The sequence below is a fragment of the Homo sapiens genome, chromosome 16 (assembly GCF_000001405.40).
Source record: "Homo sapiens chromosome 16, GRCh38.p14 Primary Assembly".
Lineage (NCBI taxonomy): Eukaryota > Metazoa > Chordata > Mammalia > Primates > Hominidae > Homo > Homo sapiens.
In genome coordinates this window covers 24,658,558-24,678,329 of record NC_000016.10, presented here as the reverse complement: position 1 = coordinate 24,678,329, position 19,772 = coordinate 24,658,558, and the positions used below count along the sequence as shown (strand labels likewise).

Genomic DNA, 19,772 nt, shown 5'->3' with positions numbered 1-19,772 from the left:
ATTTTTTTTTTTTTTTTTTGAGACAGGGTCTCACTCTATTGCCTAGGCTGGAGTGTAGTGGCACGATCTCAACTCACTGCAACCTCTGCCTCCAGGGCTTAAGTGATTCTCATGCCTCAGCCTCCGGAGTAGCTGGGATTACAGGTGTGCACCACTACCTCTGGCTAATCTTTTGTATTTTTAGTAGAGATGGGGTTTTGCCATGTTGCCCAGGCTGGTCTTGAACTCCTGAGCTCAGGCAATTCACCCACCTCGGCCTCCCAAAGTGTTAGGATTACAGGCATGAGTCACTGCGCTCAGCCCCATATTCTATTTATTAGAAGTGTTACACTACATCCAGCCCACACTCACGTCATGGGGAGGGGATTGTACAAGCGTATGAATATCAAAAGGCAAGAATCCCTGGCACCATCTTGCAGGACACCTACCAAAACAAAGATCATCCAGCAACCACGCGGGCAATGGATATGAAAGGAGGGAACAGAGGAAACAAACAGTTCAAGGGAAGAGGTGATAGACGATTATTCATTCGTCCAACAGATATGTACTGACTACCTACTTTGCACCAGGCACTATTTTAGGTACTGAGGATAAAAGGGGGAACAAGACAGACAAAGCTCAAACCCTCATGGAGTTTACTGAAGAGCAGAGACAAGACAAGGCCACTAGAGAGATCATGAGCATAAGAAACAAGACAGTTGCTATGTAATTCACGCACTGTTTCACAGGGAGACTCACATGGTCTGTGACTGATTGCAGGCGGTGAGTGAGCGGATGGGAGGAGCTCGGGATGAACTCCCATGTTTCAAGTTTGGGCAACTGGTAGATTCTGATGCCTTTCCATGAGCAAAAGAAAAATGAACATGGGGCCGGGCACTGTGGCTTACGTCTGTAATCCCAGGACTTTGGGAGGCCAAGGTGGGCGGATCACTTGAGGTCAGGAGTTTTAGACCAGCCTGGCCAACCTGGCAAAACCCCGTCTCTACTAAAAATACAAAAATTAGCTGGGTGTGGTGGTGGGTGCCTGTAATCCCAGCTACTCAGGAGGCTGAGGCATGAGAATCACTTGAACGCGGGAGGTGGAGGTTGCAGTGAGCCGGGATTGCACCACTGCATTCCAGCCTGGGCAACAGAGCGAGACTCTGTCAGGGAAAAAAAAAAAAAAGAAAAAAAAAGGAAACGGGACAGGAAATAGATTTAAGGAAGGATGAGAAGGCCAGAGTTGGACATGTTGAATTTAAGGAGTCTGTAGGACAACCAGATGATGTTCAGGTGGTAACTGGACATCAGCCCAGAAGTGATGCCTGAATTGGCGACAGACAATAAAAAGTTAGTGGCACGCAATGATATTTAAAGCCATACCAGTGAAAGCAGAGAGAAAAGAAGGCTAGAGGAACCTTGAAGAATAGGAATTTCTAACGCATGGGGAAAAGAAAACAGAAAGTAAAAGGAACAAGCAAAAATAAAAGGTGAAAGAGCACTCAGAGAGATAGGAGTGGGATGTCATAGAGTCTTCAGAGAAGAGAATTGGAAGGAAGGAGAGTGATCAAATGCAGTCAAGAAATCAAGAAGTCTTGGCCGGGTGCAGTAGCTCACGCCTATAATCCTAGCACTTTGGGAGGCTGACGGGGGTGGATTGCTTGAGCCCAGGAGTTCAAAACTAGCCTGAGCAACATGGCAAGACCTTGTCTCTACAAAAAATAAAAAATTAGCCAAGCGTGGTGGCGTGTGCCTGAGTCCCAGCTACTCAGGAGGCTGAGGTGGGAAGATCACTTAAGCCTGGGAAGTTGAGGTTGCAATGTGCCATGATCATGCCATTGCACTCCAGCCTGGGTGAAAGAGTGAGAACTTGTCTTAAAAATAAAATCAGCTGGGCATGGCGGTGCATGCCTGTAATCCCAGCTACTTGAGAGGCTGAGGCAGAAGAATTGCTTGAATGTGGGTGGTGGAGGTTGCAGTGAGCCAAGAGCATGCCACTGCACTCCAGCCTGGGCAACAGAGCAAGAGACTCCATCTTAAATAAATAAATACATACAATAAAATAAAAAATGAAAGAAATTGAGAAGTCTCCATTGGTGCAAAAAGGAGGCCATCAGTGACCTTGATGAGAAGAATTTTAGAAGCAGGGAGTGGGCAGGGGAGAAGGTTGAGGAGTGATTGAGAGGTGAGCAAATGGAGATAAGTGGGTGTAAATCATTTTTGATTCTTTTTATCTTATTGGCACATATATGAATTCTGAGGCATTATCAGAATTAAATGTCCATTCTTGAGGTTATTTCAGTCTCTGGGAGGCTGCCAGCCCTTCCTTTTCCATTTAGCCCTAATGCATTGGTGGGGAATAGTTCTAATAGGCAAGATAAGCAGGATTGCTTGGGACAAGTGGGAAAAGAGTAGGAAGAAAAACCAAGGGTGGGACATCCTGGACTCTGTGATGATGAACTTGTGTAACCTCCAGCAGACAGAGCAGCAAAGGTCTCCAGGAATGCAAAGGAAGAGGTGGTATGAATTCCTAGACCCTATGTGGGTACTCCCATATCAAAAATGAGTCCCCATTTAGATACTGAATAGCCTCTGTGTGTGTTGTGTGCATATATATATATATATATATATATATATATATATATATAGAGAGAGAGAGAGAGAGAGAGAGAGAGAGAGAGAGAGAGAGAGTCTCTGGCTGGAGTGCAGTGGTGTGATCTCACCTCACTGCAACCTCTGCCTCCTGGGTCCAAGCAATTCTCCTGTCTCAGCCTCCCGAGTAGCTGGGATTACAGTTGTGCACCACCATGCCCAGCTAATTTTTTGTATTTATAGTAGAGATGGGTTTCACCATGTTGGTCAGGCTGGTCTTGAACTCCTGACTTCAGGTGATCCACCTGCCTCGGCCTCCCAAAGTGCTGGGATTACACATATGAACCACAGTGCCTGGCTTGGAGAGCCTCTTTTAAAGCTAAAATGCATCTGTATCCTTCGGCAGCCTGAAATCTTAGGAAATTCAGGCACGTACTATCTAAGAATCACAGCATTTCTCATGCAAAATATCTTTTTGTACTTCTCTTGCAATTCATTCCAATGTGTTCTGTCTGTCCACAACACAGCTTGTGTTTCTTTGATTATTTCCCCCCATGTTGGGATTATAAAATTACATAAAATTGGTGTTGGTTGGAGAATGTTTTTGGTTTTTTGAACAGGGTCTCGATCTGTCACTCAGGCTGGAGTGCAGCGGTGTCATCATAGCTGACTGCGACCTTGAACTCCTGGGCTCAAGCAATCCTCCCACCTCAGCCTCCTGAGTAGCTGGGACTACAGACGCATGCCACCACAACTGGCTAATTAAAAAAATTTTTGTTTTTGTAGAGACAGTGGTCTCAATACGTTGCCCAAGCTAGTCTTGAACTCCTGGGTTCAAGTGATCCTCCTGCCTTGGCCTCCCAAAGTGCTGGGATTACAGGTGTGAGCTACCACTGCCTGGTGGGTGGAGAATTTGGATGGCTTGACAGAGATGGTTACTTTGGCAGTCTTTCCATAATCTCTCTTGTGATCCCTTTAAGAAAAGTTTACGTCACATGATTGTTCAGACTTAGACAAAGATGTGTGTGTGTGTGTGTGTGTGTGTGTGTGTGTGTGTGTGTGTGGTGGGGGCAGTGTTGTAAGAGAATAAATAATATTTAAAAGAATTACTTTACAGAGTCTCAGCTTCTGTCACAATACATTGAATTTGCCTGCTTTTATGTGGAACTCCGTTGCAACGGAGAGGAAAGGATGGCCCACTTTCACCTAAAATCCAGATTCTATAACTTGCAAAGTCTCTTTCCAATTAGTTCCAGATTATTAATGCCATCCTGGCAAACTGATAACTCACTGTTTAGGGCACGCTGAATCATTTCATACTATTTTATTTTATTTATATATCTATATATAGTTTGAGACAGAATCTCGCTCTGTCACCCAGGCTGGAGTGCAGTGGCATGATCATAGCTCACCGTAGCTTTGAATTCCTGGGCTCAAGTGATCCTCTATTGAATTTAAACTTAATTTAACTGAGACCAGCCTGGGCAACACATCGAGACCTTGTTGCTACTAAAAATAAAAAAATAGCTGGCGTGGTGGCACAAGCCTGTAGTTCCAGCTACTCAGGAGGCTGAGGTGGAGGATCACTTGAGCTGAGGAGGTCAAGGCTACAGTGAGCTATGATCACACCACCGTATTCCAGCCTGGGCGACACAGCCAAACCCTGTCTCAAAAAAAGAAAAATAAAAAAGATCATAGATTAGAGACAATGGTTCCCAGCTCCCTTTCCTCTGCTGCAACTATGATGGAAATGTTTTGGATGGTATCTGATGCCAAGCTCTTCTGAGAATGTTACCTGACGTGGATGCACCAAGCTGCACGAGGGTGAGGACTTTTGTCATTGACAACTGTATCACTTCAGCTAGTGCCCATTACACGGTTCTCACGAAAATATTTCTTGAGGCCGGACATGGTGGCTTATGCCTGTAATCCCAGCATTCTGGGAGGCCGAAGTGGGTAGTTCGCTTGAGCCCAGGAGTTCAAGACCAGCCCTGGGCTGGCAAAAGTCTGTCTCTACAAAAATTAGAAAAATTAGCTGGGCACAGTGGCGTAGGCCTGTAGTCCCACCTTCTTGGGAGGCTGAGGTGGGAGGGTTACCTAAACCAGGGAGGTTGAGGCTGCAGTGAGCCGTGATTGCACCACTGCACTCCAGCCTGGGTGACAGAGTGAGACCCTGTCTCAAAAACATAAATAAATAAAATAAATTTCCTGAATGAGTTGTTGGAAGATTGTTTCACTGCTCGAGCTGGTGGGATTCTCACACCCTGCCAGAATCTACTTCCTTATCTTTGCCTGGGACATGGCCCCTTGCAAAGTGGACCTACAGGCATCCCTCGGTGAGCGAAGCCCTGTCTCTGGGAAGGCTGTGGAACACAGTTCCAGAACATAGCTTTGAAGCCCAGTGGACCAGATTTGAGTTCACTTTGAAATTTGATAGCTGTGTGACCTTCAATCTTGGTCAAGTTACTTACTTTTCTACTTACCCTCAGGACTCTCATTATCAAAGTTTGTACACACACAGAAAAGTTGAAAGAATAGTACTATCTTTTTTTATTTTTATTTTTAATTTTTAAAAAATTTTTGTAGAGAGGGAGTCTTGCTTTGTTGCCCAGGCTGGTCTCAAACTCCTGGCCTCGAGCAATTCTTCCACATCTGCCTCCTGAGTAGCTGGGACTACAGGTGTGTGCCATCACACCTGGCTAAGTTTTAAAATATTTTTTGTAGAGATGAGGGTCTCACTATGTTGTCCAGGCTGATCTTGAACTCCTGGGCTCAAGCAATCCTCCTGCCTTGGCCTCCCAAAGTGCTGGGATTACAGGTATGAGCCACTGTGCCCAGCCAGAATAGTACTATTGATGACACAATGATGAACTATCTAGGTTCAAAAATTGTTAATATTTTGCTGTATTTATATGTAAATACATGCATATGTATGTAAGTATATCTACAAGTAAGTTACAGGCATCATGACACTTCTCTAAATACTTCAGCCTGTATCATCTAAGAAGAACAGGCCAGGCACAGCGGCTCATGATGCCTGTAATCCTAGCACTTTGGGAGGTTGAAGTGGAAGGATCACTTGAGCCCAGGAGTTGGAGACCAGCTTCAGCTATATGGCAAGTCTCCTGTCTCTACAAAAAATAGCAAAAATTAGCCAGGCATGGTGGTGCATGCTTGTAGTCCCAGCTACTCAGGAGGCTGAGATGGGAAAATCGCCTGAGCCCAGGAGGTTGAGGTTGCAGTGAGCCGTGATCACACCACTGCACTCCAGCCTGGGTGACTTCGTGAGACCCTGTCTCAAAAAAAATAAACAAGTAAAAAATAAACAAAGGGCCAGGCGCGGTGGCTCACGCCTGTAATCCCAGCACTTTGGGAGGCCGAGGAGGGCGGATCACGAGGTCAGGAAATTGAGACCATCCTGGCTAACACGGTGAAACCCCATCTCTACTAAAAATACAAAGAAAAAAAAATTAGCCAGGCGTGGCGGCGTGCGCCTGTAGTCCCAGCTGCTGGGGAGGCTGAGGCAGCAGAATGGCGTGAACCCGGGAGGCGGAGCTTGCAGTGAGCCGAGATCACGCCACTGCACTCTAGCCTGGGTGACATAGCAAGACTCCGTCTCAAAAAATAAATAAATAAAATAAAATAAACAAAGAACACTTTCCTACACAAACACAACTCCCGAATCACTCTTGAAGAGAATTAAAAATGATTTCCTAACACAATCTCACATGCTGTCCATATTAAAATTTCACCAACTGTCCCTCAAATGTCTTTTTATGACTGTTTTAATTTTTCTGGTCAGGATCCAATGTAGGATCAGAAATTGCATTTGGTTTTTGTCTCTTTACTCTTTTTTTCTAGAAAAGATTTCTACCCTTTTGTAAGTGACACTGATTTTTATTTTTTAATTTTATTAAGACAGGGTCTCACTATGTTGCCCAGGCTGGTCTTGAAGTCCTTGGCTCAAGCAATCCTCCCACCTCGGCCTCCCAAAGCGCTGGGATTACAGGCGTGAGCCACTGCACCTGGCCTGACATTGATATTTTTAAGAGCTCATCCAGGCTAGTTGTCATGGAAACATCTCACATTTTGGATTCGTGTGATTGTTTCCTCGGGGTGTTTTCTAGGCTCGATTTCCCCATCTGTGAAATGGGCGCAGTGACAGTAGCCACCACATGGGTACCACATTCTACTCCCCAGGCAGTGCGAGAACTGCAGGGCATAGTGCCTGCACAGCGCCTAGTGCAGTGTCTGGCACATCACGGATGCTGAATAAATGAGCCATTGCCATCACCATCATTCCAACCAGCATCCTCCACCTCATCACCACCAGCATCTTCAGCACCCCAGAGTCCAAGCCGCGTCAATGCGCAAACTTGTCTCATTCTTTCCTCACCCTTCTGGAATGTCTTATGCCCCTCCTGCTCAGTTCCCTCTCTCCTGGAGACCTTAAGCGATGAAACTTAAGCCGTATGAATCTCTTAGCCCCTCCAGCAACTGGAGTTTAGCCTCACCCATCTTCCTAAGGACAACCTCTCTTTTTTTTAGAATCACAATTTTCTGACCCCAAATGGTTTAGACACAGTGAGGCATTAACGGTGTCATGTCCACCCAGGGAGCAGGCGGGTGCTTCGTCATTGCTGGTGCTGGTGGTGGGTGACCTTGGCGCGGAGGCTGTCGGTGCGGCAGCTGCTGCAGTGCTGTCGGAGGGTTGCTGGGGAAAGGAGATTGGCTGGCGAGGAAGATGAGGAATGTGCTGCCAGGAGACTGGGATCACGGCCAGATGCTAATTACGATGGCCTGGGGGTGCTGGTACCCCCTGTCAGCATCATGTAAGGAAGTGTGGGGGCTGGCGGGAGTGGGGGAGGTGAGAGAAACGGGCAAGGTGAGAGGGACTGACAGGTTGGAGAGATCCACTTGTTCCCCAAGGGTCCACCCTCCCTTCAGACCCAAGCTGTCTGGGAGAAATTGTGGCTGTCACCATAGCAACAGCAGCAGCTGATGCGTGATGCACAGTGTCTGTTAGAGAAGCTCGGTCAAGCTTGTACCAGTATTTTTCCATCCGAATCTCATTTCTTCAGTGAAATGAGAGAGATCGGAGGCTGGGCAGGGCACAGGTGGGGCCAAGCAGGTATTTGGAGAGGGAGTACAGACAGGAGAGTTCTCAGATAGTCTACTGAATTTGAAAAGAATACAGATTGAAGAGAAGCAGATTTTTACATTACTAAGACATCATTTAAATATCCAGACTGCTTCCAAATTCCCTTAAATTATACATGAATTGCTGAAACAGCAGCCCCGTAGCCTCCAGAAAGGTGCAACGCATTGCATCTGGGAGACCCTTGCGGGAAGGGTTGTTTCTGCAGTCCTGAAGGGCACCAACCTGGGAGTGAGACTGACCTTAGACTCCCAGCTCTGCCACTTCCCAGCTAAGTGGCTTTGGGCAAACTATTTTCCCACATTAAGCCTCAATGTCCTCATCTGTAAAATGGAGATAATAAGAACAGCTGGCTGGGTGTGGTGGCTCACGCCTGTAATCCCAGCACTTTGGGAGGCCGAGGTGGGTGGATTGCTTGAGCTCAGGAGTTCAAGACCAGCCTGGGCAACACGGTGAAACCCCGTCCCTTCTTAAAATACAAAAATTAGCTGGGCATGGTGGCATGCACCTGTAGTCTCAGCTACTAGGGAGGCTAAGGCATGGGAATTGCTTGAGCCTGGGAGGTAGAGGTTGCAGTGAGCCAAGATCACGCCATTGCACTCCAGCCTGGGTGACAGAGTGAGACTCTGTCTAAAAAAAAAAAAAAAAAAAAAAAAAAAGTAGCTGCCTCATAGGGTCATAACGAGAACAAAATGAGTGGATGCATATAGCATTAAGCCTAATACTTGGCTCATATAATGAACCCAGTAAATGGTTGCTATTATTACTATAACAACTACTTCTATTACTGTTGGTGCTACTATTACTATTACTACTCTTACTACTAAAACAAGTACTGTTATTCCTCCTCCTGCCAGCACCATGGGGATTACACAATTCAGCTGAGGACAGGATGATGAATCACTGGCGACTCAGTCCTCTCCCACGAATGGTACTGGAGTGCTTGAATTTGCCAGCACTTTTGTAAGGAGCTGGGAGCAAAGGCTGAGAAGACACAGTCACTGCCCAGACACAGTCACTGCCCTCATAGACTGTGAATCTAGTGTCCAACAAAGGCATGACTCAACAAACAACCAGGGAATCCTATGGGAGCTATAGGATTTTTTTTTTTTTGAGACAGAGTCTTGCTTGTTGCCCAGGCTGGAGTGCAGTGTTGCAATCTGAGCTCACTGCAGCCTCTGCCTCCTGGGCTCAAGTGATCCTCCCACCTCAGCCTCCTGAGTAGCTGGGACTACAGGGGCACGCTGCCACACTCAGCTAATATTTAAATTTTTTGTAGAGACTATGTTGCTCAGGCTGGTCTCGAATTCCTGGGCTGAAGCAGTCCACCCAACTCAGTCTCCCAAACTGCTGGGATTATAAGTGTGAATGCCCCGCCAGGATTTTTATTAGAAGAGATTGTACAGATGATCTATTTCAGGATTTTCCCAAACTCATCCCTCAAGTTTCCCCTCTCTATTTTAGTCCTGAGTACCACTCACATTGTTATTTATTTAAGGCTTTATTTCTCTTTAAATTGATCCCCCTTTCATTGGTCAAATAAATGTGGTTTGAAGAAATCTGGATCGCACTGTGGAAAATGTGAAATTAGCATCACTTGCCATGAAAAAAAAAACCCATAAAAATAAAAACAACGAGACTAATTGTGTCGTCGCATTCCAGCTAATACCCTTTTCCTGTTGAACTTTCAGAGACTCAGGCTCACTCTGTTCAAAGGGAGGTTGGCAAGGCTCAGAGAGGTGTTAAAGGCACACTAGCACAAAATGAAACTTTTTCCTTTTTAATCAGAAGTGCTGCAAAGCAACCAAAGGAAGAATGACTTTCTCACTGAGTAATTCAATGACATCAAATGTTCCATGTTCTTTCCCATCTAAGGTCATGGCTGGCCTTAATTAAGGGTGAATAATTACCTCTTCTCAGAGGGGGCGGGAAAGGCAGGGTAAGAAGTAGGCCCTAGAGCAGACTGCATCTCTGCTGAGTCTAATTGTTCCGGTGGCCAATGCCAGGTGGAAAGCATGGCCTTGGTGATAAAAATGGAGGCAAGCGTGATGCCAGTTTCAGACTGCTTAAGTAGTTCAGAGGCACTGAAGCCCAGTGGGGGAAGTCGGGTAGAGCCGAGGGACTGGCCCAGATCATGAAGGCTTTGTAAATTGCACTTATTCACTGAGTAAAGTGCAAGCGCTGAAATATACATATACATATATATATGTAATTTATTTTTCTTTTCTTTTCTTTTTTTCTTTTTCTTTTTTTTTTGAGATGGAGTTTTGCTTTTGTTGCCCAGACTGGAGTGCAATGGCATGATCTTGGCTTGGCACAATCTTGGCTCACCGCAACCTCCACCTCCTGGGTTCAATCAATTCTCCTGCCTCAGCCTCTCAAGTAGCTGGGATTACAGGCATGCGCCACCACGCCTGGCTAATTTTTGTACTTTTAGTAGAGAGGGGGTTTCACCATGTTGGTCAGGCTGGTCTTGAACTCCCGACCTCAGGTGATACTCCAGCCTCAGCCTCCCAAAATGCTGGGATTACAGGCGTGAGCCACCATACCCAGCCTATATATATGTAATGTTTTAAGACACAGGGTCTTGCTCTGTTGCCATGACTGGAGTGCAGTGGTGCAATCCTAGCTCCCTGCAGCCTCAAAATTCTGGGCCCAAGAGATTCTGCTGCCTCAGCCTTCTGAGTACCTGGGACTATGGGCATGTGCCATCACGCCCAGCTAACTCAAAAAATTTTCTTGGTATGTTGCCCAGGCTGGTCTTGAACTCCTGGCCTCAAGTCATCCTCCTGCCTCAGCCTCCCAAAGTGCTGGGATTACAGGTGTGAGCTACCATGCCCAACATACTGAAATATATTAAACAGTGGAACGATATGACAACAATAATAGCTATCATTAGTAGTGCACTAACTATGCGCTAGTCATTGAATCTTCATAACAACTGGGGGGTAGGTAATACTATTTCTATTCTACAGATGAGAAAACTGAGGCTTAATGAGGTTCAGTACTTTTCCCAGATGTGGTAGATTGACCACAGTTCTCCTCCCCTCCCTGTCTGTCACATTGTGGTCACTTTACTAAGTGACTTTGCAGCTCCTCTTATTAAGAGAGAAATCCGTTTTCCTGCCTACTGGCCTTATGATCTACTTGGACCACAATAGTGCAGCAGATGGCATGATGGGTCAGTTCTGAGTCTGGGCCTCAAGAGGCCTTGTCAGTTTCCTGGGAATACTTTGGGATCCCTGTTGTTGCCATGTGCAGGGGGCCAGGCCTGTCTTCTGCAGGATGAGAGGAGTCCATTTGTCCTAGCTGAGGCCCAGGCACGGGACAGAGCCCAGCCAAGGTCAGCAGAGCCACCACTCCAGCCAGCAGCTGATCACAGATACATCAAAAAGTCCAGATGAGACCAGAAAAACCACCCTCACTGACCAATGGACTCATAAGCAGTAAAGAGTGGTGTTCTTTTTATTTTTACTTATTTATTTGAGATGGAGTCTTGCTCTGTCACCCAGGCTGGAGTGCAGTGGCATGATCTTGGCTCACTGTAACTTCCACCTCCTGGGTTCAAGCAATTCTCCTGTTTCAGCCTCCTGAGTAGCTGGGGCTACAGGCACGTGCCACTGCGCCCTGCTAATTTTTGTATTTTTAGTAGAGATGGTGTTTCGTCATATCGGCCAGGCTGCTCTCGAACTCCTGATCCCAAATGATCCACCCGCCTCAGCCTCCCAAAATGCTGGGATTACAGGTGTGAGCCACCATGCCCAGCCAAGAGTGGTGTTTTTTTAAGCAATTAAGTTTTGGAGTGCCTTCGGTTAGTAAAAACTAACTAGACAACCAAGATAAGCCAGTGAGTAAATGTTGGAGTTGAGATTTTTTCCAGCTGTCACCACTGCCCCTGCCCCTGCCATATGTATATATATATATATATATATTTTTTTTTTTTTTTTTTTTTTTTTTTTTTCTCTAAGACAGGGTCTTGCTCTGTCATCTGGGCTGGAGTGCAGTGCCAATAGCTCATTGGCAGCCTTGACCTCTGGGGCTCAAGTGATCTTTCCACCTCAACCTCCTGAGTAGCTGGGACCACAGGCATGTGTCACAATGCCCATCTAATTTTTTTTTTTTTTTTTTTGAGACGGAGTCTTGCTCTGTTCCCAGGCTGGAGTGCAGTGGCGCGATCTCGACTCACTGCAAGCTCTGCCTCCCGGGTTCATGCCATTCTCCTGCTTCAGCCTCCCAAGTAGCTGGGACTACAGGCACCTGCCACCACGCCTGGCTAATTTTTTCTTTTGTATTTTTAGTAGAGATGGGGTTTCACTGTGTTAGCCAGGATGGTTTCAATCTCCTGACCTCGTGATCCACCCGCCTTGGCCTCCCAAAGTACTGGGATTACAGGCATGAGCCACTGCTCCTGGCTGCCCATCTAATTTTTAAAATTTTGTAGAGATGGGGTCTTGCTATGCTGCCCCAGCTGGTCTCAAACTTCTGACTTTAAGCCATCCTTCCACCTCAGCCTCCCAAAGTGCTGAGATTACAGGCGTGATCCACCGCTCCTGGCACACTTATTCTCTTGAACATCATTTCTCACAAACACTCAGAAGGTTTCCCATTTATGCTGGCATGTACCATTTCTTCAGTACAACCACTCACAACTTTCCACTGAAAAGGAACCTCAATCAGCTGCCCCGCACCACCACCAACACCTCACAAAGATTTGATTGATATGCTAGCAGAGCATAGACAGACGAGTTGCAGGGAAAGATTTGTCCCTGCAAGCAAATTTTCCACAAGTGACAACTTCAATAATTCTTGCAAGGCAGTAGTTCTCAACCAGAGGAGATTTTGACCAGCTAGGACTGGTCAATTGACAATGTCTGGAGACATTTTTTATTGTCATAACTGGGAAGGGAGTGCTACTAGACTATAGTGGGGTAAAGGCCAGGGATACTGCCAAAGAAACATCCTACAATCTACCAAACAGCCTCTCAGAACAAAGAATTATCCTACCCAAAATGTGAATAGTGCTGAGGTTGAGAAACTATTTTAAGGTAATATGGAACAAGACTATTGTTATGACTGTGAAGAAAACACCTTGGAGCAGTGGGTCTTGACCCTGGCTACACATTAGATTCACCCAATGAGTTAAAAGGCAATGAAAACCTAATGCTCTGCCCTGATTCTCTGAGTCTTTGACTCAACTGGGATGGGGCCATTTACCAATTCTTTCCAGGCTGAATGTGGTGGCTCATGCCTGTAATCCCAGCGCTTTAGGAGACAAAGGCAGGAAGACTGCTTGAGGTCAGGAGTTTAAGACCAGCCTGGGCAACATAGCAAGATCCCGTGTCTATAAGAAAAATTAAAAAAAAATTAGCCAGTTTTAAAAACATGAGCTTGTAGTCCCAGCTACTCGAGAGGCTGAGGTGGGAGGATGGCTTGAGCCCAGGAGTTCAAGGCTGCAGTGAGCTATGATTGCACGAACCACTGCACTCCAGGCTAGGCAACAGAGTGAGACCTTGTCTCTAACATAAATAAACAAACAAATAAATAAATAAGTTAGTTTGTCCTTCCTCCTCATCAGATCAGCCTCTCCACTTCAAATCCTGCCCCTCTGATGTTAGAATCTGGCTGCAACCATCCCGTGATTCTGTGGAGCCTCGTGCCTTACTTCTGCTGGCTTCTGTCTGTCGTCACTTCCGTTCTCCACCACCCTGGCCTCAATCAAACACGTTTTCTCTGATGCAAAACTCGACCTTCATTTACAGAAAGGTTTCTGGGATTTCTTATAGGTTTTGTGTGTGTGTGTGTGTGTGTGTGTGTGTGTGTGTGTGTGTGTGATTTGGGGATTACTGCAAGGCACCCTATACACAAGAGTCTTCTGATCTCTCCCTACTTTATTTTTTATTTTATTATTTGGAGACATAAATAATAAATAATAAATAATAAATTTATTATTAATAAATATATTTATTAATAATATATATTTATATTTATTATATTTTAAAATAAATATATTTAAAATATTTAAATAAATTAAAATATATTATTAAAAATATATTATATTTTAAAAATATATATATTATATTTATTATATATTATTATATTTATTTTTATTATATTTATATTTATATTTATTATATTTAAAAATAAAATATATTATTTTTATTATATTCATATTTATTAAATTTATAAATTTAATAAATTTATAATATGAATTTATTAAATTAATAATACATAATAAATATTGTTATTTATTTATTATTTGGAATTTTATTATTATTTGGGTCACACTCTGTCCCCCACACTGGAGTGCAGTGGCATGATCTCAGCTCACTGCAATCTCCGTCTCCAAGGTGCAACGATTCTCCTGCCTCAGCCTCCCGAATAGCTGGGATCACAGGTGAGCGCCACCATGCTCAGCTAATTTTTGTATTTTTAGTAGAGATGGGGTTTCGCCGTGTTGGCCAGGCTGGTCTCAAACTCCTGATCTCAGGTGATCCACCCGCCTCTGCTTCCACCTCCCAAAGTGCTGGGATTACAGGTATGAGCCACCACTCCCAGCCTCCTTACCTTCATTTCCCCTTCTCTTCTGTTCACTACAGGGTTATCTCAAGAGGCTTGGGATGGTTAAACCCTGCACATCTCAGAGGAAGGACTGGCTCTTCACCTGTTCCTGCAGGATAACTGCTAACGGCTTAAAATATTCTGCCTGATAAGAGGGCTTCTGTATATCTGGGGCCTTGGGCCATGCCGGGTAGTTGATGCTAACAACATGATTTATGGTGGGTGCCTGCGGTCATGCTGTATCAGCCTGACCTCTGGAGGGGCTGGACACTGGGTAACTGATCCCCAAGAAAAGCCATGGACACTAAGGCTCAGGTGAGTTCCCCTGGTTGGCAGTGTTTTGCGTGTGTTGTCACACATCATTGCTGGGAGACTTAAGCACTGCACATATGACTATCTAGGAGGGTACAGCTGCAAGCTCCTGCCTGGATTCTGCCCTGAGCACCTTTTTCCTTTGCTGATTTTGTTTATCTATTTATTTATTTTTGAGATGGAGTCTCACTCTGTCACCAAGGTTGGAGTGCGGTGGCTGGATCTCGGCTCATTGCAACCTCCACCTCCCAGGTTCACGTGATTCTTCTGCTTCAGCCTCCCAAGGAGCTGGGATTACAGGTGCCAACCACCATGCCTGGCTAATTCTTATATGTTAGTAGAGACGGGGTTTTGCCATGTTGGCCAGGCTGGTCTCGAACTCCTGAGCTCAAGTGACAAGGCCGCCGGCCTCGACCTCCCAAAGTGCTGGGATTACAGGCATGAGCCACCGCGCCTGGCCCCTTTGCTGATTTTTAATCCGCATCCTTCCACTGTGTTAAGCTGTAACTGTGAATACAACAGCTTTTTTGAGTTCTGCGATTCTTTGCAGCAAATCGTCATACCTGAGCGTGTCTTGGGGACTCCCCGACACATCTTCCCACTCCCTCTTCTGTTTTCTCACTTCCTCTGGAGTAAACTGAAAGAGGCCCCTGCTTGCCTCTTGCAAGGCAGTTCTGAACACACTGAGATCATTTGTGATCTCATATCCTCTTCTAAGCAATTCATCAAGAAATTTCTTTCAAATAAACCCAGTGCTCTTCATGGAGGTGATGCTGATGAAAATGACTTTCTCCAGCTTATTACACGTTTGCAGAAGCTCCTGTTTAAGAGTTTGAGCATGTATGTGTGTGTGCATATACACCAGCACACACATGCATGCCCACAGCTGTCATGCCTTCACCAGAACCAGGACGAGGAGTTATTCTATTGCCAGAATTGAAGAACCATTTCCACATATTGTAAGGTCAGTGAAAGTACAATGAAAAATACACCTGCTAGCATGCCTATGCATGGCCTCTCTGCAAATAAGATGAAGGTCCCTTCACCACCTGCTTGCACTGCTAATGGCCCTGTAGATTCCACTGGATGGATTTGTAATTTTCTCAACCATTTCCCCTAATGCTGGATATTTGGGTTATTTCCAACATTTTTACGCTTCCAAATAAGGCACCCATAATGATTCTTGCAGAGTAATCATTAGGCTCTTCTATAATTATCTAATTATCCTTTTTTTTTTGTTTTTTTCTGAGGCAGGGTCTTGCTCTGACACCCAGGCTGGAGTACAGCGGCACGATCATGGCTCACTGCAGCCTCAGCCTCCCACGCTCAAGTGATTCCACAGTCTCAGCCTCCTGTGTAGCTGGGATCACAGGTGTGCGCCACCACGCCTGGCTAACTTTTTGTACTTTTTATAGAGACGGGGAGTTTTTTTGTATTTTTTTAAATAGAGACGATGTCTCACCATGTTGCTTAGGCTGTTCTGGAACTTCTGGACTCCAGTAATCCTCCTGCCTCAGCCTCCCAAGGTGCTGAGACTATAGGCATGAGCCACCGTGCCCAGCCATATAATTATCTTAAGATAAATTTCTATACATGGAATTTTTATACGTGGAATTTCTATACATGAATTAAAGAGCACAGATTTTTGTATGTTGGTTGCTTGGTTTTTAGAGGCAGTATCTCACTCCATTGCCCAGGTTGGAGTGCAGTGGTGCAATCATAGCTCACCGCACCACTGAATTCCTGGGCTCTAGGAGTCCTCCTTCCTCAGCCTCCTAAGCAACTAGGACTACAGAGTACATATGTTTTTAAGATCTTTGATATCTTATACCTTTTGGGGACTGTATCAGTTAAAAACTCTACCAGTACTGTAGAAACATGATCGTGTCTCTGTTTCCTTGCCACACTGGGCATTAATTACTTGATCCATTAATGAGTTAATTGCACCCTCAATAAGAGTATGGTAAAGTGTGACACATTTACACTACAGAATATTATGCTGTAAAGAATAAGGATGTAGGCCAGGTGAGGTGGCTCATGCCTGTAATCCCAGCACTTTGGGAGGCCGAGGCGGGCGGATGACGATGTGAAGAGATCGAGACCATCCTGGCCAACATGTTGAAACCCCGTCTCTACTAACAGTACAAAAATTAGCTGGGTGTGGTGGCAGGTGCCTGTAATTCCAGCTACTCGGGAGGCTGAGGCAGAAGAATCGCTTGAACCTGGGAGGCGGAGGTTGCAGTGAGCCAAAATGGCGCTACTGCACTCCAGACCGGGGACAGAGTGAGACTCTGTCTCCAAAACAAAACAAAACAAAACAAAGCAATTTAAAGAGAAAGACTTTTAGGTGAGGTCAAAAAGGCAAAACCTGACTTTGGTTGAAAACAAAAAAAATATGCCATACAGTTTCTTAGGAAAACTGAAATTAAAAGTATAAGCAAAGACATACCTTACCCAGTGATATTATGGACTTGAGAGACTCAGAAGGGGAAGGGTGGGAGGGAGGCTAAGGGTAAAAAACTGAACATTAGGTACAATGTACACTCCTCCTTTGACAGGCGCACTAAAATCTCAGAATTCATCGCTACATAATTCATCCACATAACAAAAAGCCACCTGTACCCCTAAAGCTATTGAAAAAAAATTTTTCTTAAAGACATACCAGATAAAGGTTAAGAAGAAGAAAGCTGGGCAGGGCGTGGTGGCTCACGCCTGTAATCCCAGCACTTTGGGAGGCCGAGATGGGTGGATCACGAGGTCAGGAGATCGAGACCATCCTGGCTTACACGGTGAAACCCCGTCTCTACTAAAAATACAAAAAATTAGCCTGGCGTGGTGGCGGGCACCTGTAGTCCCAGCTACTCGGGAGGCTGAGGCAGGAGAATGGCGTGAACCCGGGAGGCGGAGCTTGCAGTGAGCCGAGATCGCTCCACTACACTCCAGCCTGGGCGACAGAGCGAGACTCCGTCTCAAAAAAAAAAAAAAAAAAAAGAAAAAAAAAAGAAAAAAGAAAAAGAAAGCTGAATTCATGATATTAATATCAGACAATGTTGAATCTAAGGTTAAGGGAGGCAACCTAGACAAATGGGGGCATTTTATAATGACAAAGGGCACTAAGAGTTAGGCTAAAGCTTCAATGTGAGAACACAACAGAAAATGGCATCAAACTTGCACACGCATGTTTATAGCAGCACAATTCACACTATTCACAACTGCAAAAATGTGGAATCAACCCAAATGCCCATCAATCAACGAGTGGATTAAAAATCTGATATATATATATATGAATGATGGAATACTACTCAGCCATAAAAAGGAATGAACTAATGGCATTCGCAGCAACCTGAATGGGATTGGAGACTATTAGTCGAAGTGAAGTAACTCAGGAATGGAAAACCAAACATCGTATGTTCTCACTCATAAGTGGGAGCTAAGCTATGAGGATGCAAAGGCATAAGAATGACACAAGGGACTTTGGGGACTCAGGGGGACAGGGTAGGAAGGGGGTGAGGGATAAAGGTCTACAAACTGGGTTCAGTGTATACTGCTTGGGTGATGGCTGCACCAAAATCTCACGCATCACCACTAAAGAACTTACTCATGTAACCAAACACTACCTGTTCCCCCCAAAACCTACAGAAATAAAAAGTTAAAAAAATAAAATAAAATAAAATGGCATCAAAATAATTACAGCATCAGCTTCCAACAGACACCAAGACTAACATATGACTATAGCTCACCTCTCCCAGCTTGCAGTAGATAAAAAAATTAAAAATAAAAATTTAGAGGATCTCAATGTATATTTAATAAGGCCGACTTTGTAGTTTATGTCGAATACTATGCACTAATAATAGAGGATACATCTTTTATGTGCCTATGGAATTTTCATGGTAATAGATGATGTATCAGGCCATGAAGAAAATCTTAACAAAATTCAAAATGGAGAAAGAGTAGAGACCACTTTCTAGTCACAGTACAAGAAAGATAGGGCTGGGTGTGATAGCTCATGCCTGTAATCCCAGCATTTTGGGAGGCCAAGACAGGAGGATTGCTTGAGCCCAGGAGTTTGAGACCAGCCTGGACAACATAGCAAGACCCTGTCTCTACAAATAATACAAACATTATCCTGGCATAGTGGTGCACACCTGTAGTTCCAGCTACTTGGGAGGCTGAAGGAGGAGGATTGCTTGAGCCCAGGGGACAGAGGCTGCCGTGAGCCATGTTTGTACCACTGCAGCCAGTCTGGGTAACAGAGCAAGACCAACAAAATTGGAAGGGGAAAATTCTACCACCCACCACTTGGTAAAAGGGAGCGTTTTTTGAGGGCACGAGGAGAGAGACACAGAGACAGACAGATCAAAGAAAAAATTTAAACCCAAATTTCTCAACATCTTGAATAACAAAATGAAATTAATACATAGCAAAACCTCTGTCCTATGACTAAAACTGGATTGTTAAGTAGAACAGAGCCCTAAACAAAGGCATAAGTAGAGAAGGACAAAGAAAGTAAGTGAGTTTAGTATTCACTCAAAGAAGTTAGAAAAACAACAAATTATTCTAAGAAATAAGAAGGAATAAAATAATAAATGGGCGAATTAGAAAATAAAATAATGGTGGGGTGCAATGGGTCCTACTGCAAAGTGCCTGTAATCCCAGCACTTTGGGAGACTGAGGCGGGTGGATTGCTTGAGCTCAGGAGTTCAAGACCAGCCTGGGCAACATGGCAAAACTCCAACTCTACAAAAAATACAAAAATTAGCCGGGTGTGGTAGCGCACGCCTATAGTCCCAGCTACTTGGGAGGCTGAGGTGGGAGGATCGCTTGAGTAAGGGAGGCAGAGGTTGCAGTGAGCAATGATCTGCACTGCACTCCAGCCTGAGTGACAGAGTGAGACCCTGACTCAAAACAAAAAAAAAGAAAAAGAAAAGAAAATACACAAAAAAATAGAATTAATTAATGTAAGAGCAAACTCTTTGGGGTGAGTTGGTTAGAGTAAAATAAATAATTGAAAAGTCAACTAATCAGGAAAAAAAGAGGAAGAAAGCTCAAAAACACAACATTAGAAACAGGGTGGGTGGGGCTCTGTGGCTCATACCTGTAATCCCAGCACTTTGGGAGGCCGAGGTAGATCACTTGAGGTCAGGAGTTCAAGACCAGCCTGGCCAACATGGTG

The 19,772-nt window shown here is 44.8% G+C and overlaps 1 protein-coding gene and 1 long non-coding RNA gene across 15 annotated transcripts in view, besides 1 other annotated feature; one reads left to right on the top strand and one right to left on the bottom strand.

The window, feature by feature from the left end:
- Window positions 1-19,772, bottom strand: part of TNRC6A (trinucleotide repeat containing adaptor 6A) — a 216,014-nt gene that overhangs the window by 147,889 nt on the left and 48,353 nt on the right. The window lies entirely within an intron of this gene.
- Window positions 7,268-16,908, top strand: LINC01567 (long intergenic non-protein coding RNA 1567). The gene is made up of 3 exons (NR_122072.1): window positions 7,268-7,403; window positions 13,305-13,492; window positions 14,326-16,908. It is a non-coding gene; the product is annotated as a long intergenic non-protein coding RNA 1567 (long non-coding RNA).
- Window positions 15,297-15,526: an enhancer, noted in NCBI's record as "active region_10600". NCBI's record gives its function as "activates an Ori minimal core promoter by ATAC-STARR-seq in GM12878 lymphoblastoid cells {active_cell/tissue: GM12878}" and the evidence as "EXISTENCE:reporter gene assay evidence [ECO:0000049][PMID:35858748]".